General features: G+C 47.9%; 1 long non-coding RNA gene, 4 other non-coding genes and 3 pseudogenes across 5 annotated transcripts; 5 read left to right on the forward strand and 3 right to left on the reverse strand.

Moving 5' to 3' along the window:
* The first annotated feature begins 1,506 nt into the window (after positions 1 to 1,506).
* On the forward strand, positions 1,507 to 9,468 carry LOC124904766 (uncharacterized). Its single transcript, XR_007067335.1, has 2 exons — positions 1,507 to 2,952; positions 8,865 to 9,468. It is a non-coding gene; the product is annotated as an uncharacterized LOC124904766 (long non-coding RNA).
* On the forward strand, positions 2,010 to 2,099 carry MIR516A1 (microRNA 516a-1). The gene has a single exon (NR_030220.1). It is a non-coding gene; the product is annotated as a microRNA 516a-1 (primary transcript).
* MIR1283-2 (microRNA 1283-2) lies at positions 3,501 to 3,587 on the forward strand. Its single transcript, NR_031696.1, has one exon. It is a non-coding gene; the product is annotated as a microRNA 1283-2 (primary transcript).
* RNU6-1041P (RNA, U6 small nuclear 1041, pseudogene) lies at positions 5,356 to 5,457 on the reverse strand (annotated as a pseudogene).
* Positions 6,402 to 6,491, forward strand: MIR516A2 (microRNA 516a-2). The gene has a single exon (NR_030221.1). It is a non-coding gene; the product is annotated as a microRNA 516a-2 (primary transcript).
* On the forward strand, positions 7,613 to 7,699 carry MIR519A2 (microRNA 519a-2). The gene has a single exon (NR_030222.1). It is a non-coding gene; the product is annotated as a microRNA 519a-2 (primary transcript).
* RNU6-165P (RNA, U6 small nuclear 165, pseudogene) lies at positions 11,803 to 11,901 on the reverse strand (annotated as a pseudogene).
* HMGN1P32 (high mobility group nucleosome binding domain 1 pseudogene 32) lies at positions 13,240 to 13,822 on the reverse strand (annotated as a pseudogene).

The raw sequence follows: 15,396 nt of genomic DNA on the forward strand, positions 1-15,396 counted from the left end.
ACGAAGAGTATTCTTATATCGCTTTGGGTTTTTTTGTTTGTGTGTTTGTTTTGTGTTTGTTTCTTTGTTTTTGAGACAACGTCTGGCTCTGTTGCTCAGGCTAAAGTGTAGTATTGCAAGCTCAGCTCACTGCAACCTCCACCTCCCACCTAAAGTCCCCTGAATTAGTGTCTACAGGCATGCACCACCACACCTGGCTCACTTTTTTTTCTGAGAAGGAATTTTGCTTTTGTCGCTCAGGCTGGAGTGCAATGGGGTGATTTCAGCTCACTGCAACCTCTGACTCCCGGCTTCAAGCAATTCTCCTGCCTCAGCCTCCCAAGTAGCTGGGATTACAGGCATGCACCACCACACCTGGCTAATTTTGTATTTTTAGTAGAGATGGGTTTCACCTTCTTTCTCAGGCTGGTCTTGAACTCCTGACCTCAAGTGATCCACCTGCCTCGACCTCCCAAAGTGCTAGGATTACAGGTGAGAGACATTGCACCTGGCCACCTAACTTTTGTAGTTTTTTTACAGACAGGGCTTCACCATATTGCCCAAGCTGGTCTCCAGCTACTGAGCTCAAGTGATGCTCCTGTCTCGGCCACTGTCCCTCACCCAAACTTGTGTATTTCTTTTCTTTTCTTTTTTTTTTTTTTTTTTTGAGATGGAGTCTGGCTCTGTCACCCAGGCTGGAGTGCAGTGGCACGATCTTGGCTCACTGCAAGCTCCGCCTCCCCAGTTCATGATATTTTTCTGCCTCAGCCTCCCAAGTAGCTGGCACTACAGGCACCCGCCACCACGCCTGGCTAATTTTTTGTATTTTTAGTGAAGACGGGGTTTCACTGGATTAGCCAGGATGGTCTTGATCTCCTGAGCTCGTGATCTGCCTGCCTTGGCCTCCCAAAGTGCTGGGATTACAGGCTTGAGCCACCGCACCCAGCTTTTTTGTTTTTTTGTTTTGTTTTTTTGAGATGGGGTCTCGCTCTGTCACCCAGCCTGGAGTGCAATGGCACGATCTCGGTTCACTGCATCCTACCCCTCCCGGGTTCAAGCGATTCTCCTGCCTCATCCTCCCAAGTAACTGGGATTACAGGTGCCCACCACCGCGCCTGGCTAATTTTTTGTATTTTTAGTAGAGACGGGGTTTCACCGTATTAGCCAGGATGGTCTTGATCTCCTGACCTCGTGATCTCCCTGCCTCAGCCTCCCAAAGTGCTGGGATTACAGGTGTGAGCCACTGCACCCGGCCTTTTTTTTTTTTTTTTTTTTTTTGAGATGGGATCTCGCTCTGTCACCCAGGCTGGAGTGCAACGGCATGATCTCAGCTCACGGCAACCTCCCCCTCCCGGGTTCAGGTGATTCTACTGCCTCAGCCTCCCAAGTAGCTGGGATTACAGGTGCCCACGACCACGCCTGGCTAATTTTTTGTATTTTTAGTAGAGATGGGGTTTCATCAAGGTGGCCAGGCTGGTCTCAAACTCCTGACCTCATGATCTACTGGCCTCGGCCTACCGAAGTGCTGGGATTACAGGCATGAGCCACCGCGCCCAGCTTCTGTATTTCTTTTCAAATTTTATTGAGGATTTTTTATGTCCTAGCCTGTGGTCTATCCTGGAGGATGTTTGTGTGTGAGACAATGTATATTCATCAACATCTTAGATTCCATTTTGATTGCTTCCGTAGAAACTGTGTGTCCTTGTGCTGGAACTCCGGTGAACACCTGGCTCAATATCCATTGCTCTTCTCTAGAAATCCAGCCCAGTTCTCTTGGTTAAATATAAGATATGTGTAGCAGGCATTGCTTTTTCTTTCCAGAGACAAAACTCAGGAGGATTGCCCCTTGATGAACAAAGCTAACCTGCTGATTCTTTGAAGCAAGTAACTGGAGATCCTCCTTTTAGGGGTTTATATTCTGGATTCCAGAAAACATGCAAACAGGGCCAATAAATGCATCTTTATGTTTCTGTCCATTTTAACTTGATCTAGGAAAATTCCAACAAAAAACCCACGGTGCTGGAGCAAGATCTCAGGCTGTGACCTTCTCGAGGAAAGAAGCACTTTCTGTTGTCTGAAAGAAAAGAAAGTGCTTCCTTTCAGAGGGTTACGGTTTGAGAAAAGCAACGTTGAAGTTGACGCTGATCTTGGTAATACATTTGCAGAGCGTGCTGATCATCAGACGTGGATAATGGTGGGGTTTTGTTTTTTATCTAAGACAGGGTGTCTGTTCCCCAGGCTGGAGTGCGGTGGCACTTCCAACTTAGATCTCTTGGGTTCAAGTGGCCCTCTTTTTGGGACAGAGTCTCACTCTGTGGCCCTGGCTGGAGTGCAGTGGCAGGAACTTGGCTCACTGCAATCTCTGCCTCCTGGGTTCAAGCAATTCTCCTGCCTCAGCCTCCGGAGCAGCTGGGGTTACAGGCTGTGCCACCATGCCCAGCTAACTTTTGCATTTTTATTATTGATTTATTGATTTATTTTTGAGACAGGGTCTGGCTCTGTCACCCAGGCTATAGGGCAGTGGTGCGATCTCGGCTCACTGCAACCTCCACCTCCCACCTCAGCCTCCTGAATACCTGTCTCCAGGCATGCACTACCACACCTGCCTAACTTTTGTATTTTTTGTATAGATGAGGTTTCACCATGTTGCCCAGGCTGGTCTCGGACCCTTGAGCTCAATTGCTCCTCCCGCCTGGGCCTCCAAAACTGCTGTGATTAATGGTGTGAGCAAGCGTGCCCTACTCTTGTGTGTTTCTGCTCAAATTTTATGGAGGAGCTTTTACATCCCAGCCTGTGGTCTATCCTGGAGAATGTTTGTGTGTGTGACAATGTATATTCTTCAACATTTTAGATTCCATTTGGATGCTCCCATCCGGACTGTGTGCCCCTGTACTGGAACTCAAGTGAACACTTGGCTCAACATCCATTGCTGTTCTCATGAATTCCAGGCCAATTGTCTTGGTTAAAGACAAGGTATGTGGGCTGGGCGTGGTGGCTCATGCCTGTAATCCCAGCACTTTGGGAGACCGAGGTGGGAGGATCACGAGGTCAGGAGTTCGAGACAAGCCTGACCAACACGGTGAAACCCATCTCTACTAAAAATACAAAAATTAGCTGGGCGTGGTGGCTCCACCAGTAATCTCAGCTACTTGGGAGGCTGAGGCAGGAGAATTGCTTGAACCCAGGAAGCGGAGGTTGCAGTGAGCTGAGATCGCGCCACTGCACTCCAGCCTGGGTGACAGAGCGAGACTTCATCTCAAAAAATAAAAAATAAAAAGGTATGTGTAGTAGGCATTGCTTTTTCTCTTTGTAGATAATACTCAGGAGGACTGCCTCTTGAACAAGGCTAACCTGCTGAGCCTTTGAAGCAAGGAACTGGAGATGGTCCTTTTAGGGGGTTATGTTCTGGATTCCAGAAAACATGCAAATAGGGACAATGAATGCATCTTTATTTTTCTGTCCATTTTAACCTGGTCAAGGAAAATTTCAACAAGAAACCCAGAGTGCTGGAGCAAGAAGATCTCAAGCTGTGAGTCTACAAAGGAAAGCGCTTTCTGTTGTCTGAAAGAAAAGAAATCGCTTCCCTTTGGAGTGTTACGGTTTGAGAAAAGCAGCGTTGAAGTTGATGCTGATCTCGGTAATACATTTGCAGAGCATGCTTATCACACTTGGACGGTGGCGGGGTTCTGTTTTGGTTTTGCTTTGTTATTCTAAAACAGGGTCTGTGTTGCCCATGCTGGAGTGCGGTGGCACATCCCACCTAGGTCTCTTGGATTTAAATGGTCCTTTTTGGGGGCCAGAGTCTCTCTCTGTCACCGAGGCTGAAGTGCAGTCATCCCATCTTGGCTCACTACAACCTCCGCCTCCCAGGTTCAAGCAATTCTCCTGCTTCAGCTTCCCAAGTAGCTGAGATTTACAGGCGCCCATCCCCACACCTGGATAATATTTGGGTTTTTTTTTTATTTATTTTTAAGATGGGGTCTCACCGTCACCCAGGCTGTAGTTCAGTGGCTTGATCTCGGCTTACTGCAATGTATGCCACCCAGGATCAAGTGATTCTCCTGCCCCAGACTCCTGAGTAGCTGGAATTACACGCACCTGCCACTACACCCGGCTACTTTTTGAATTTTTTTTTTTTTTTTTAAAGTAAAGATGGGCTTTCACCATGTTGGCCAGGCTGGTCTCAAACCCCTGACCTCAAGTCAGCTGCTTGCCTCAGCCTCCCAAAGTGCTGAGAATACAAACATGAGCCACTGCGTGGCCATCAACACCTCTTACTTTATGGAAATTTTTCTGGCACTGGTATAGAACCTCACGTGGGGTCAGGTGGAGTTGAGGGGACCTCAGTTTCCCTTGCAGATGGGATGTGCACTGCTCAGCAAGAGCACAGAGGTGGAGTGCATGGGGCTTCAGTGTTTATTGGGGAAATGAAGCTAAAATCTTCGGTGTGTGACCAGGAGATAAATGCATGAGATGGGGATCTCACTATGCTGCCCAGGCTGAAGTGGGCTTAGATCCTCCTGCCTCTGCCCCTCCCCAGTCCTTGGTACATGGGACTACATGTGAATATTAACCCCCCATGCACAGACAAGAAGAAAGTAAGGACTGTTCTTTGGTTCATACCTGACCCCAGTTAAACATGTATTTTAGATAAACAATGTATTTGAAATGTACTTGAACAACAAATGATTTGCTGTTTAGGTGTGGGCATCTTTTTTTTTCTTCCTAACTTTAAATATGGGACTAGTCCAGGTACGGTGGCTCATGCCTGTAATTCCAGCACTTTGGGAGGCGGAGACAGGAGGATCACCTGAGGTCAGTTGTTCGAGACCAGACTGGCCAACATGGTGAAACCTCGTCTGTACTAAAAATAAAAAAATTAGTGAGACGTGGTCTTGGTGCATGCCTGTAATCCCAGCTACTCGGGTGGATGAGGCAGGAGAATTGCTTGAGGCTGGGAGGCTGAGCTTTCAGTGAGCTGAGATCAAGCCTCTGCACTCCAGCCTGGGCAACAGAGTGAGACTGAGTCTCAAAAAAGTAAAAAATCAGCTGGGTGCGCTGGCAAACACTTGTAATCCCAGCACTTTGGGAGGCCGAGACGGGAGGATCACCTGAGGTCATGTTCAAGACTAACAGGGCTGAAATAGCAAAACCTCATCTCTATTAAAAATACAAAAATTAGCTGGGTGCAGTGGTGTATATCTGTATTTCCAGCTACTTGGAGGCTAAGGCAGGAGAATCGCTTGAACCCAGGAGGAAGAGATTTCAGTGAGCTGAAGCCATGCCATTGCACTCCAGCCTGGGCCACAGAGCAAGATTCCATCTCAAAAATAAAATAAATAATAAAAATGAAATTAAATAGATAAAAATAAATAGATAAATATGAGACCATCATGAATTTGGATGTCACTTTTGTGCAGGGGCCAGGGTAATCTCTGTCATTCCAATTTTTTTTATGTGCACTGCCAAAGCAAGCACTCATGTGTAGGAATTATTCTTCCTGTGAGCATATAATATATGGAACTTTGAGACAGAGTCTCAAACATATATAATGTATATTTTATCATATATTCTTTATATATAAAATATCATATAGACACAAAATACTGTTCTAAATACAGAGAATACTCTGATATCAACTTGGGTATTTTTTGTTTCTGTGTGTGTGTATTTTGTTTGGTTGGTTATTTTTGAGACAAGGTCTAGCTCTATCACACAGGCTGGAGTGTAGTGGTGCGTTCTCGGCTCACTGCAACCTCCGCCTCCCACCTAAGCCTGCTGCATTAGTGTCTACAGGCATGCACCACCACACCCGGCTCACTTTTGTATTTTTTGTACACATGGGGTTACACCATGTTGCCGGGGCTGGTCTCGAACTCCTGAGCTCAGGTGATTCTCCTGTCTTGGCCTCCTAAAGTGCTGGGATTAGAGGTGTGAGCCACCATGCCCCATCGGTACTTGTGATTTAGGTTCAAATTTTGATGAGTTTTTATGACCAAGCCTGTGGTCTATCCTAGAGAATGTTTGTGTGTTTGACAATTCAACATCGTAGAGTTGATTTTGGGTGCTCCCATTGGGACTGTGTGTCCCTGTACTGGAACTTGAGTGAACACTTGGCTCATAATCCATTGCTCTTCTCTAGAAATCCAGCCCAATTCTCTTGGTTAAATATAAGGTATGTGTAGCAGGCATTGCTTTTTCCTTCCAGAGACAAAACTCAGGAGGATTGCCCCTTGATGAACAAGGCTAACCTGCTGATTCTTTGAAGCAAAGAACTGGAGATGGTCCTTTTAGAGGTTTATATTCTGGATTCCAGAAAACATGCAAACAGGGCCAATAAATGCATCTTTATGTTTTCGTCCATTTTAACTTGATCTAGGAAAATTCCAAAAAAAAAAACCCACGGTGCTGGAGCAAGAAGATCTCAGGTTGTGACCTTCTCGAGGAAAGAAGCACTTTCTGTTGTCTGAAAGAAAAGAAAGTGCTTCCTTTCAGAGGGTTACGGTTTGAGAAAAGCAACGTCGAAGTTGACGCTGATCTTGGTAATACATTTGCAGAGCGTGCTGATCATCAGACATGGATAATGGTGGGGTTTTGTTTTTGTTTTATTTTTTTATCTAAGACAAGGTATCTGTTGCCCAGGCTGGAGTGCGGTGGCACTTCTAACCTAGATCTCTTGGGTTCAAGTGGCCCTCTTTTCGGGATAGAGTCTTCTTTGCTCTGTGGCCCTGGCTGGAGTGCAGTGGCAGGAACTCGGCTCACCGCAACCTCTGCCTCCTGGGTTCAAGCAATTCTCCTGCCTCAGCCTGTCGAGCAGCTGGGGTTACAGACATGTGCCACCACGCCTGGCTAATTTTTGCATTTTTATTGTCGATCGATTGATTGATTTTTGAGACAGAGTCTGGCTCTGTCACCCAGGCTGTCGGGCAGTGGTGCGATCTTGGCTCACTGCAACCTCCACCTCCCACCTCAGCCTCCTGAATACCTGTCTACAGGCATGCACAACCACACCTTGCTAACTTTTGTATTTTTTGTACAGATGAGGTTTCACCATGTTGCCCAGGCTGGTCTCGGACCCCTGAGCTCAAGTACTCCTCAAACCTGGGCCTCCTAAACTGCTGTGATTAATGGTGTGAGCCACCGTGCCCTACTCTTACTTGTGTGTTTCTGCTCAAATTTTATTAAGGAGCTTTTATGGCCTCGCCTGTGGTCTGTCCTGGAGGATGTTTGTGTGTGTGACAATGTATATTCTTCAACATCTTCGATTCCATTTTGGGTGCCTCCATGGGGACTGTGTGTCCCTGTACTGGAACGCAAGTGAAGACTTGGCTCAGAGTCCATTTGCTGTTCTCTAGAAATCCAGCCTAATCCTCTTGTGCAAATATAATATATATCTAGTAGGCATTGCTTTTTCTTTCTGGAGACAAAACACAGGAGGATTGCCCCTTGATGAACAGGACTAACCTGCTGATTCTTTGAAGCAAGGAACTGGAAATGGTCCTTTTAGGGATTTATGCTCTGGATTCCAGAAAACACGCAAACAGGGCCAATAAATGCATCTTTATTTTTGTGTCCATTTTGACCTGGTCAAGGAAGATTCCAACAAAAAATCCACAGTGCCGGAGCAAGAAGATCTCAGGCTGTGTCCCTCTACAGGGAAGCGCTTTCTGTTGTCTGAAAGAAAGGAAAGTGCATCCTTTTAGAGTGTTACTGTTTGAGAAAAGCAACGTTGAAGTTGATGCTGATTTTGGTAATACATTTGCAGAGCATGCTTATCATCAGACTTGGATGATGTTGGGTTCTGTTTTTGCTTTGTTTTTTTTTCCAAGACAGTGTGTTTGTTGCCCAGGCTGGAGTGCGGTGGTACTTCCCACCTAGATCTCTTGGGCTCAAGAGGTCTTTTTTTATTTTTCTTTCTCAAGAGAGAGTCTGGTGGTGACACCCAGGCTGGAGTGCAGTGGTGCATTATCAGCTCACTGCAGCCTTCCCCTCCCCGGTTCAAGTGATTCTTTCACCTCAGCCTCCCGAGTAGCTGGGATTACAGGTGTGGGCTACCACACCCGGCTAATTTTTGTATTTTTAGCAGAGACAGGGTTTTACCATGTTGGGGAGGCTGGTCTCAACTCCTGTCCTCAAGCGATCCACCTCCCTTGCCTCCCAAGTACTGAGATTACAGGCGTGAGCAACTGCGCCCGGCCTCAAGTGGTCCTCTTAAGTCAGCCTACCAAGTTTTGGGACTACATGGGGCATGCCACCACACTTGGCTAAGTTTTTAATTTTTTTTTTTTTTTTTTTTTTTTTTTTTGAGACGGAGTCTCACTCTGTCGCCCAGGCTGGAGTGCAGTGGCAAGATCTCGGCTCACTGCAAGCTCGGCCTCCGGGGTTCACGCCATTCTCCTGCCTCAGCCTCCCGAGTAGCTGGGACTACAGGTGCCCGCCACCACGCCTGGCTAGTTTTTTGTATTTTTAGTAGAGACGGGGTTTCACCCTGTTAGCTAGGATGGTCTCAATCTCCTGACCTCGTGATCCACCCGCCTCGGCCTCCCAAAGTGCTGGGATTACAGGCGTGAGCCACCGCGCCCGGCCGATAGTTTTTAATTTTTGATAGAAAGGGAATCTCTCTTGCCTAAGATGGTCTCAACTCCTGAGCTCAAGGGATCCTAAAGGTGTGAGCCGCCTTGTCCTGATGACCCATTTCAAACGTAGCTGACATGGCCAGGCATCATGGGGCACACAGTCCCAGCTACTGCAGAAGCCGGGGTGGGAGGGTCCTTTGATTTCCAGGCTATACCATGTGCTGATCACACTTTTGATCCCGAGTAGCTGGGATTACAGGCAGCCACCGCCAGGCCGGCTAATTTTTATTTATTTACTTATTTTTTCAGACGGTGTTTCCCTCTTGTTGCCCAGGCTGGAGTGCAATGGCATGATCTCGGATCACTGCAACCTCCACCTCCCTGGTTCAAGCGATTCTCCTGCCTCAGCCTCCCGAGCAGCTGGGATTACAGGCATGCATCACCACGCCCGGCTAATTCTTTGTATTTTTAGTAGAGATGGGATTTCTCCATGTTGGTCAGGCTGATCTTGAACTCCCAACCTTAGGTGATCCACCCACCTCGGCCTCCCAAAGTGCTGGGATTACAGGCATGAGCCATTGTGCCCGGCCCATTTCATTTATTTTTATGTGTGCTGCTGAAGCAAGCACTTATGTGTAGGAATTGTTCTTCCTGTGAGCATATGTTGGCCAGCCTGGACCACATACCAAGATCCCATCTCTTTAAAAACACAGATTACGTGGCACCTGGCACCTGGTCCCAGAGACTTCATTTGGGTTGGTCATTTGAAACACTAGCCTCCCATCAATTTAGTGTAATCAATCCAAATCATGTGTCCTTCATTAAGAGACTAAGAACGCCTCCACGTCTATCCAGTCTATTTTGTAATCCCCAACGGTTGTCAATATTAATAAAATTTCTTTTCTTTTTCCTATTCATTTGTGTCTTTAGTTTTTCTTCCCCAAAAACTTGCCATCATTTCTCGGAATAGACCTGCTTTCTCTGCAGGAAGGGTGTGGTTGATTCAACCCTTACCCACTAATGCCAACCCCAGTGAGTTCTTTTATCCTATTTTCTATGGGTAACGATTCCAAGGTACCATTCCACCGGGCAAAAGCTCACATCTAAGTGTCAGTTGCTCGGTAAGATGTGAAATGTTTGCTGTGGCTAATATAAGAAACAAACTATTGTAGACAAGATGAATCTCAGTGGCAGTGATAAATGTCGCACAAGACAAAACCACAGATCCTTTTTTTTTTTTTTTTTTTTTTTAGACAAAGTTTCACTCTTGTTGCCCAGGCTGGAGTGCAATGGTGCGATCTCGGCTCACTGCAACCTCCGCCTCCTGGAGGCGATTCAAGCGATTCTCCTGCCTCAGCCTCCCAAGTAGCTGGGATTACAGGCATGCACCACCACGCCCAGGTAATTTTGTATTTTTAGTAGAGACGGGGTTTCGCCATGCTGGTCAGGCTGGAACTCCTGACCTCAGATGATCCTCCCACCTCAGCCTCCCAAAGTGCTGGGATTACAGGCGTGAGCCACTGTGCCCGGCCAACCACAGATACTTTCACGAAAGCCTTTAGGGCCCTAGAAGGGGCTCCCTAGTAACAGGTGGGATGCGAGGCAGCTCTCGTTGTTGCCGTAGTGAGCGATGCCTGTTCGTCCAGCCCTCAACACCTTTTACTCCGTGGAAGTTATGCCTGCACTGGTTTACAGAACCTCCCTTGACTTGGGTTGAGGTAGAGCTGAAGGGAACCTCAGTGTCCCTTGCAGGTGGGATGTGCACTGCTTAGCAAGAGCACGGAGGTGGAGTGCATGGGCTTTGAGTTTTTATTGGGAAAATGAAGCTGAAATGTAGGGCGCATGACCACATCATAAATGCACATTTGATTTAATTTTTCTATTTTATTTTTATTTATTTATTTTGAGATGGAGCCTCGCTCTGTTGCCCAGGCTGGAGTGCACTGGCCTGATCTCGGCTCACTGCAACCTCCACCTCCCGGGTTCAAGCAATTATTGTGCCTCAGCCTCCCAGGTAGCTGGGATTACACGCATGCTTCCACGCCCGGCCGATTTTTGTATTTTTAGTAGAGACGGGGTTTCACCATGTTGGCCAGGCTGGTTTCAAAATCCTGACCTCAAGTGATCCGCCCGCCTCGGCCTCTCAAAGTCCTGAGATTACAGGCGTGAGCCACCATGACCAGCCTAATTTTTCTATTTTAGAGACAGTGGTCTAGCTATGCCACCCGGGCTAAACTAGGCTTTAGAGATCTTCCTGCCTCTGCCCCTCCACGGTCTCTGGTAGTTTGGACTACAAATGAACATTAGCATATTTGCAACCACCACCACTCTAGTTTGGAAGATTTTTATCACCCCAAAGAAGCTTATACCCATTTGCCTTCAGTACCCACCCCCCTCTTCCACTCAGACCCTGGCAACTACTCTACATCTCTCTAGCTCTGGATTTGCCTCTTGTGGGCATTTCACAAAAACCAGTCTTGAATGGGTGGCCTGTTGTGACCACTTTTAATATAATGGGTTGGTTCTGGTTGTCTGAAGTGTGAATCTTGCCAATGAAGGATGGTCCCTGGATGGAAGCAGGAGGCTGGGAGAACTGGGCGGAACATCCTTTCGGAATGGAGTGGGGTGGGCACACCCTGATGTCTGGGAAGCTCACAAGGGTGGAAGAACCCATCTTCCTCTCTGATAACTGCAAGGTGACCCTCCTGGGGCACTGGATGGAGTGAAGGCATCTGGACTGGGAACACCAGGGCATTGCACTGGTGCAGGCAGGATGAGCCGAGGGGAAAGGAGTGCCAGGCATCATTCTCTGGTGACAGTTTGGGTTTGATCTGGATGGAGCAGGTGTCTTCTGGTAGAGAGAGTCCCTGGGATTTTTGCTCTGCTCCTGGCTGTCTTTCAGTCATGGAATCTGATGACAAAGGCTCCCACTCTGGGCCACTTCATTTGGTTTCTGGAGCCCAGTGGTCCTTTCTGCCCGGACTCAGGATCTTTTGGGGAAATTTGGGACCTCGCAGGACATCTGCACAATCCATAGAAATCCCTGAGAGCCCCTTCCCTTTGCTGACATCTCCGTATTCCTACCTATTGCCTTCCAAAAAAAGACCCTTATCTGAATTGCCAAAGGGGGCTTCCCAGAGCAGGGAAACCCGGTTAAATTTGTATTTCAGATTAACAGCATATCTAGAATCTACTCGAACAAGAAGTGATTTGTTGTTTAAGTGTGAGAAATTTTTTTCCCCTAATTTTAAATACGGAACCCATCATGAATTTGGCTGTCACCTTTGCGCAGGGGCCGTGGGAACCTATCATTTCATTGTTTAATGTGTGCTGCCAAAGCAAGCACTTAAGTGTGGGAATTATTCTTCACGTGAGGATACAATAGATGGAACGTTATTACTTTTTTCTTTCATAATTGAGATTTTATTGGTTGAAGATCGGTACAGACATTTCAATTTGTACACAATTCTTAACATACGTACCGAAAATCTAAAAAGCCATGTATTGTAAATCGTTTTGTTTTGTTTTGTTTTTTTGAGACAGAGTTTCGCTCTTGTCACCCAGGCTGGAGCGCAATGACGCAATCTCGGCTCACCGCAACCTCCGCCTCCCGGGTTCAAGCAATTCTCCTGCCTCAGCCTCCCAAGTAGCTGGGATTACAGGCAAATGCCACCATGCCCGGCTAATTTTTGTATTTTTTTTTTTTTAAGTAGAGACAGGGCTTCTGCCTGTCGGTCAGGCTGGTCTCGAATTCCCGACCTCAGGTGATCTGCCCGCCTCGGCCTCTTAAAGTGCTGAGATTACAGGCGTGAGCCACCGCACCCGGCCATGTATTGTAATTCTTCTACAAAGTTATTCCGGCGACTTTCCAGCTTAAAATTTGGAAGCACATTTTCCTTAAGAGGCTATCAAGTACCAGTATCTTCACATGTTGATCAGCTGTTACGGACGTCCCTCCAATTCACAACTAAAAATAGCATGTACCCTACATATTCAAATTTTTCATCTTTCACAACGCAGAAACAAACTTATTAGGAGAACAGAACTACCACAATCAAAGATGTTACAGAGTCCACACAATTCTAACAGGGAGAGCCATGGTCAGGGAGTGGTTTTCTTTAGGAAACAATTCCAAAATACGACAGGAGAATAGAAGTAATTTAAAATGTTCAAGACACTAAATGCAGAGCTGATTCCATGCTGCCATTTAATATGCTTTGTATTATAGGATATAAACACGAACCCTGGCCGGGTGCAGTGGCTCACGCCTGTAATCCCAGCACTCTGGGAGGCCGAAGTGGGCAGATCACCTGAGGTCAGGAGTTCAAGACCAGCCTGGCCCACATGGTGAAACCCCATCCCTACTAAAAATATGAAAATTAGCCAGGCATGGTGGTGCGCGCCTGTAATCCCAGCTACTCCGGATGCTGAGGCATGAGAATCGCTTGAACCCGGGAGGTGGAGATTGCAGTGAACTGAAATCACGCCACTGCCCTCCAGCCTGGGCGACAAGAACAAGACTCTGTTTCAAAAAAAAAAAAAAAAAAAAAGTTTCTGGAACTACTAAAAAACTTGCATTTACAAAATAGTTGATAAAAAGATTCCTCTGGGTTTTACAAGAAGCGAGACAGGGAGCACTGATGAGACGTGGTATACGGTGAATCAGACTGGGCATCAGAGGCTGGGCCTCCTCAGTTTTCCTTTCCCCATTTTCTGCAGATAAATCTTTAGTTTCTTGGTTAGCCACTTCTGCCCGTTTTCCCTTTGCTCCCCTTTGCCCTTCTGTTCACACTTTTTTGTCTGAAGATGTATCCTTCGTTGCTGCCTTTTTCGGCTTCATTTCCACTGGTTTTTTTGTTTTGTTTTGTTTTGTTTTGTTTGAGACGTAGTTTCACCCTGTTGCTCAGGCTGGAGTGCAATGGCGTGATCTCGGCTCACAGCAACTTCTGCCTTCCGGTTCAAGCGATTCTCTTGCCTCAGCCTCCCGAGTAGCTGGGCTTATAGGCGCGCACCGCCATGCCCGGCTTATTTTTGTATTTTTAGTAGAGACGGGGGTTTCACCATGTTGGCCAGGCTGGTCTCGAACTCCTGACCTCAGGTGATCCGCCCGCCTCAGCCTCCCAAAGTGTTGTGATTACAAGCGTGAGCCACCGCACCCGGCCTTGCTTCCACTTTTGCAGGAGCAGGTTTAGCTGACAACCGTGCGATCTCCTCGTGGGCTCTTCCTTGGCGGCCCCTATGGCGGAGCTAACCTGCCTCTTGGGCATCCTGGTGGCGGAGAGGGCGCGTGCCGGCTGTCTGCGGGCCGCGGCTGCCGAGAGCCTTGGCGAAGCTGGGCTGCCTGGCGGCTGCGGCTCCTCCCGCCGCCCGAGCTGCTGAGACCCACAGCGGGGTCGGTGGGAGAACCGAATGGAACCCGAAACTTTCTTATTTTGAGACAGGATCTGGCTCTGTCACCCAGGCTGGAGTGCTTGGCTCACTGCAACGTCTGCCTCAAGTGATCCTTCCACCTCAACCTCCCAAGTAGCTGAGATTACAGGCGCGCGTGCCACTATGCCTGGCTAATTTTTGTACTCTTTGTAGAGATGGGGGTCTCGCTATGTTGCCCACGCTGGTCTTGAACTCCTGGGCTCAAATGATCCTCCTGGCCTGGCTTCCCAAAGTGCTGGTTGTAACGCCAGCAGTTTGGGAGGCCACAGTCGGCGGGATGGATTAGCTAGCAACAAACATTCCAGGCAGAGAATGGTGCTCTCTCAACTCTCAGTCAGCAAGGGGCTAGTATATATTGAAGGGGCTCAGGGCATGTCACCCCAAAGTCATCGCGTCAGCATATGGATTATTTCGACCTGGAAGCCTGTGGGAAAAAGCAGATGCATCTGACCTCCCCCTTCCTACGTAAAAGTAGATTGTAAAATTTATCAAGAGGAAAACGCCCTTCCTGCGCCAGGAAGAGAAGAATGTTCCTATCAGCAGGGGCCAGGAGTCCATATGCTAAACAACTCAGCTACTAACCCTTATCTTCCTTAAGTTCCCCACTGTTTCCTGGTCACTTCCCCTAGCCCAAGCCTCTTTGTCTTGTCACATCCCCACAACTTATCATTCCTTTTTTTTTTTTGAGGTGGAGTTTAGCTCTTGTTGCCCAGGCTAGAGTGCGATGGCGCAATCTTGGCTCACTGCAACCTCTGCCTCCCGGGTTCAAGTGATTCTCCTGCCTCAGCCTCCCAAGTAGCTGGGATTACAGGCGCCCACCACCACGCTCGGCTGATTTTTTGTATTTTTAGTAGAGATGGGGTTTTGCCATGCTGGCCAGGCTGGTCTTGAACTCCTGATCTCCGGTGATCCGCCCGCCTCAGCCTCCCAAAGTGCTGGGATTGATTACAGGCGTGAGCCACCGCGCCCGGCCATCATTCTCTTTTTTGTTTTGTTGTGGTTGTTGTTGTTTGAGACAGCGTCTGGCTTTGTCACCCAAGCTGGAGTGCAGTGGCGCCATCTCAGCTCACTGCGACCTCTGCCTCCCGGGTTCAAGCAATTCTCATACCTCAGCCTCCCGAGTAGCTGGAACCACAGGCATGAGCCACCATGCCCGGCTAGTTACAGGGTTTTCCTATGCTCTCCAGGCTGGAGTGCAGTGGCGCAATCATAGTTCACTGCAGTCTTCAACTCCTGGGCTCAAGCAATCCTCCCACCTCAGCCTCTTAAACTGCTGGGATTACAGGTGGTAGCCATCATGCCCTGCCCCAGAGAAGTCTTTAGGCTTCAGCCAGGCACGGTGGCTCAGGCCGGTAAACCCAGCACTTTGGGAGGCTGAGGTGGGAGGATCGCTTGTGCCCAGGAGTTGAAG

This window comes from Homo sapiens, chromosome 19, assembly GCF_000001405.40.
Source record: "Homo sapiens chromosome 19, GRCh38.p14 Primary Assembly".
Taxonomy (NCBI): domain Eukaryota; kingdom Metazoa; phylum Chordata; class Mammalia; order Primates; family Hominidae; genus Homo; species Homo sapiens.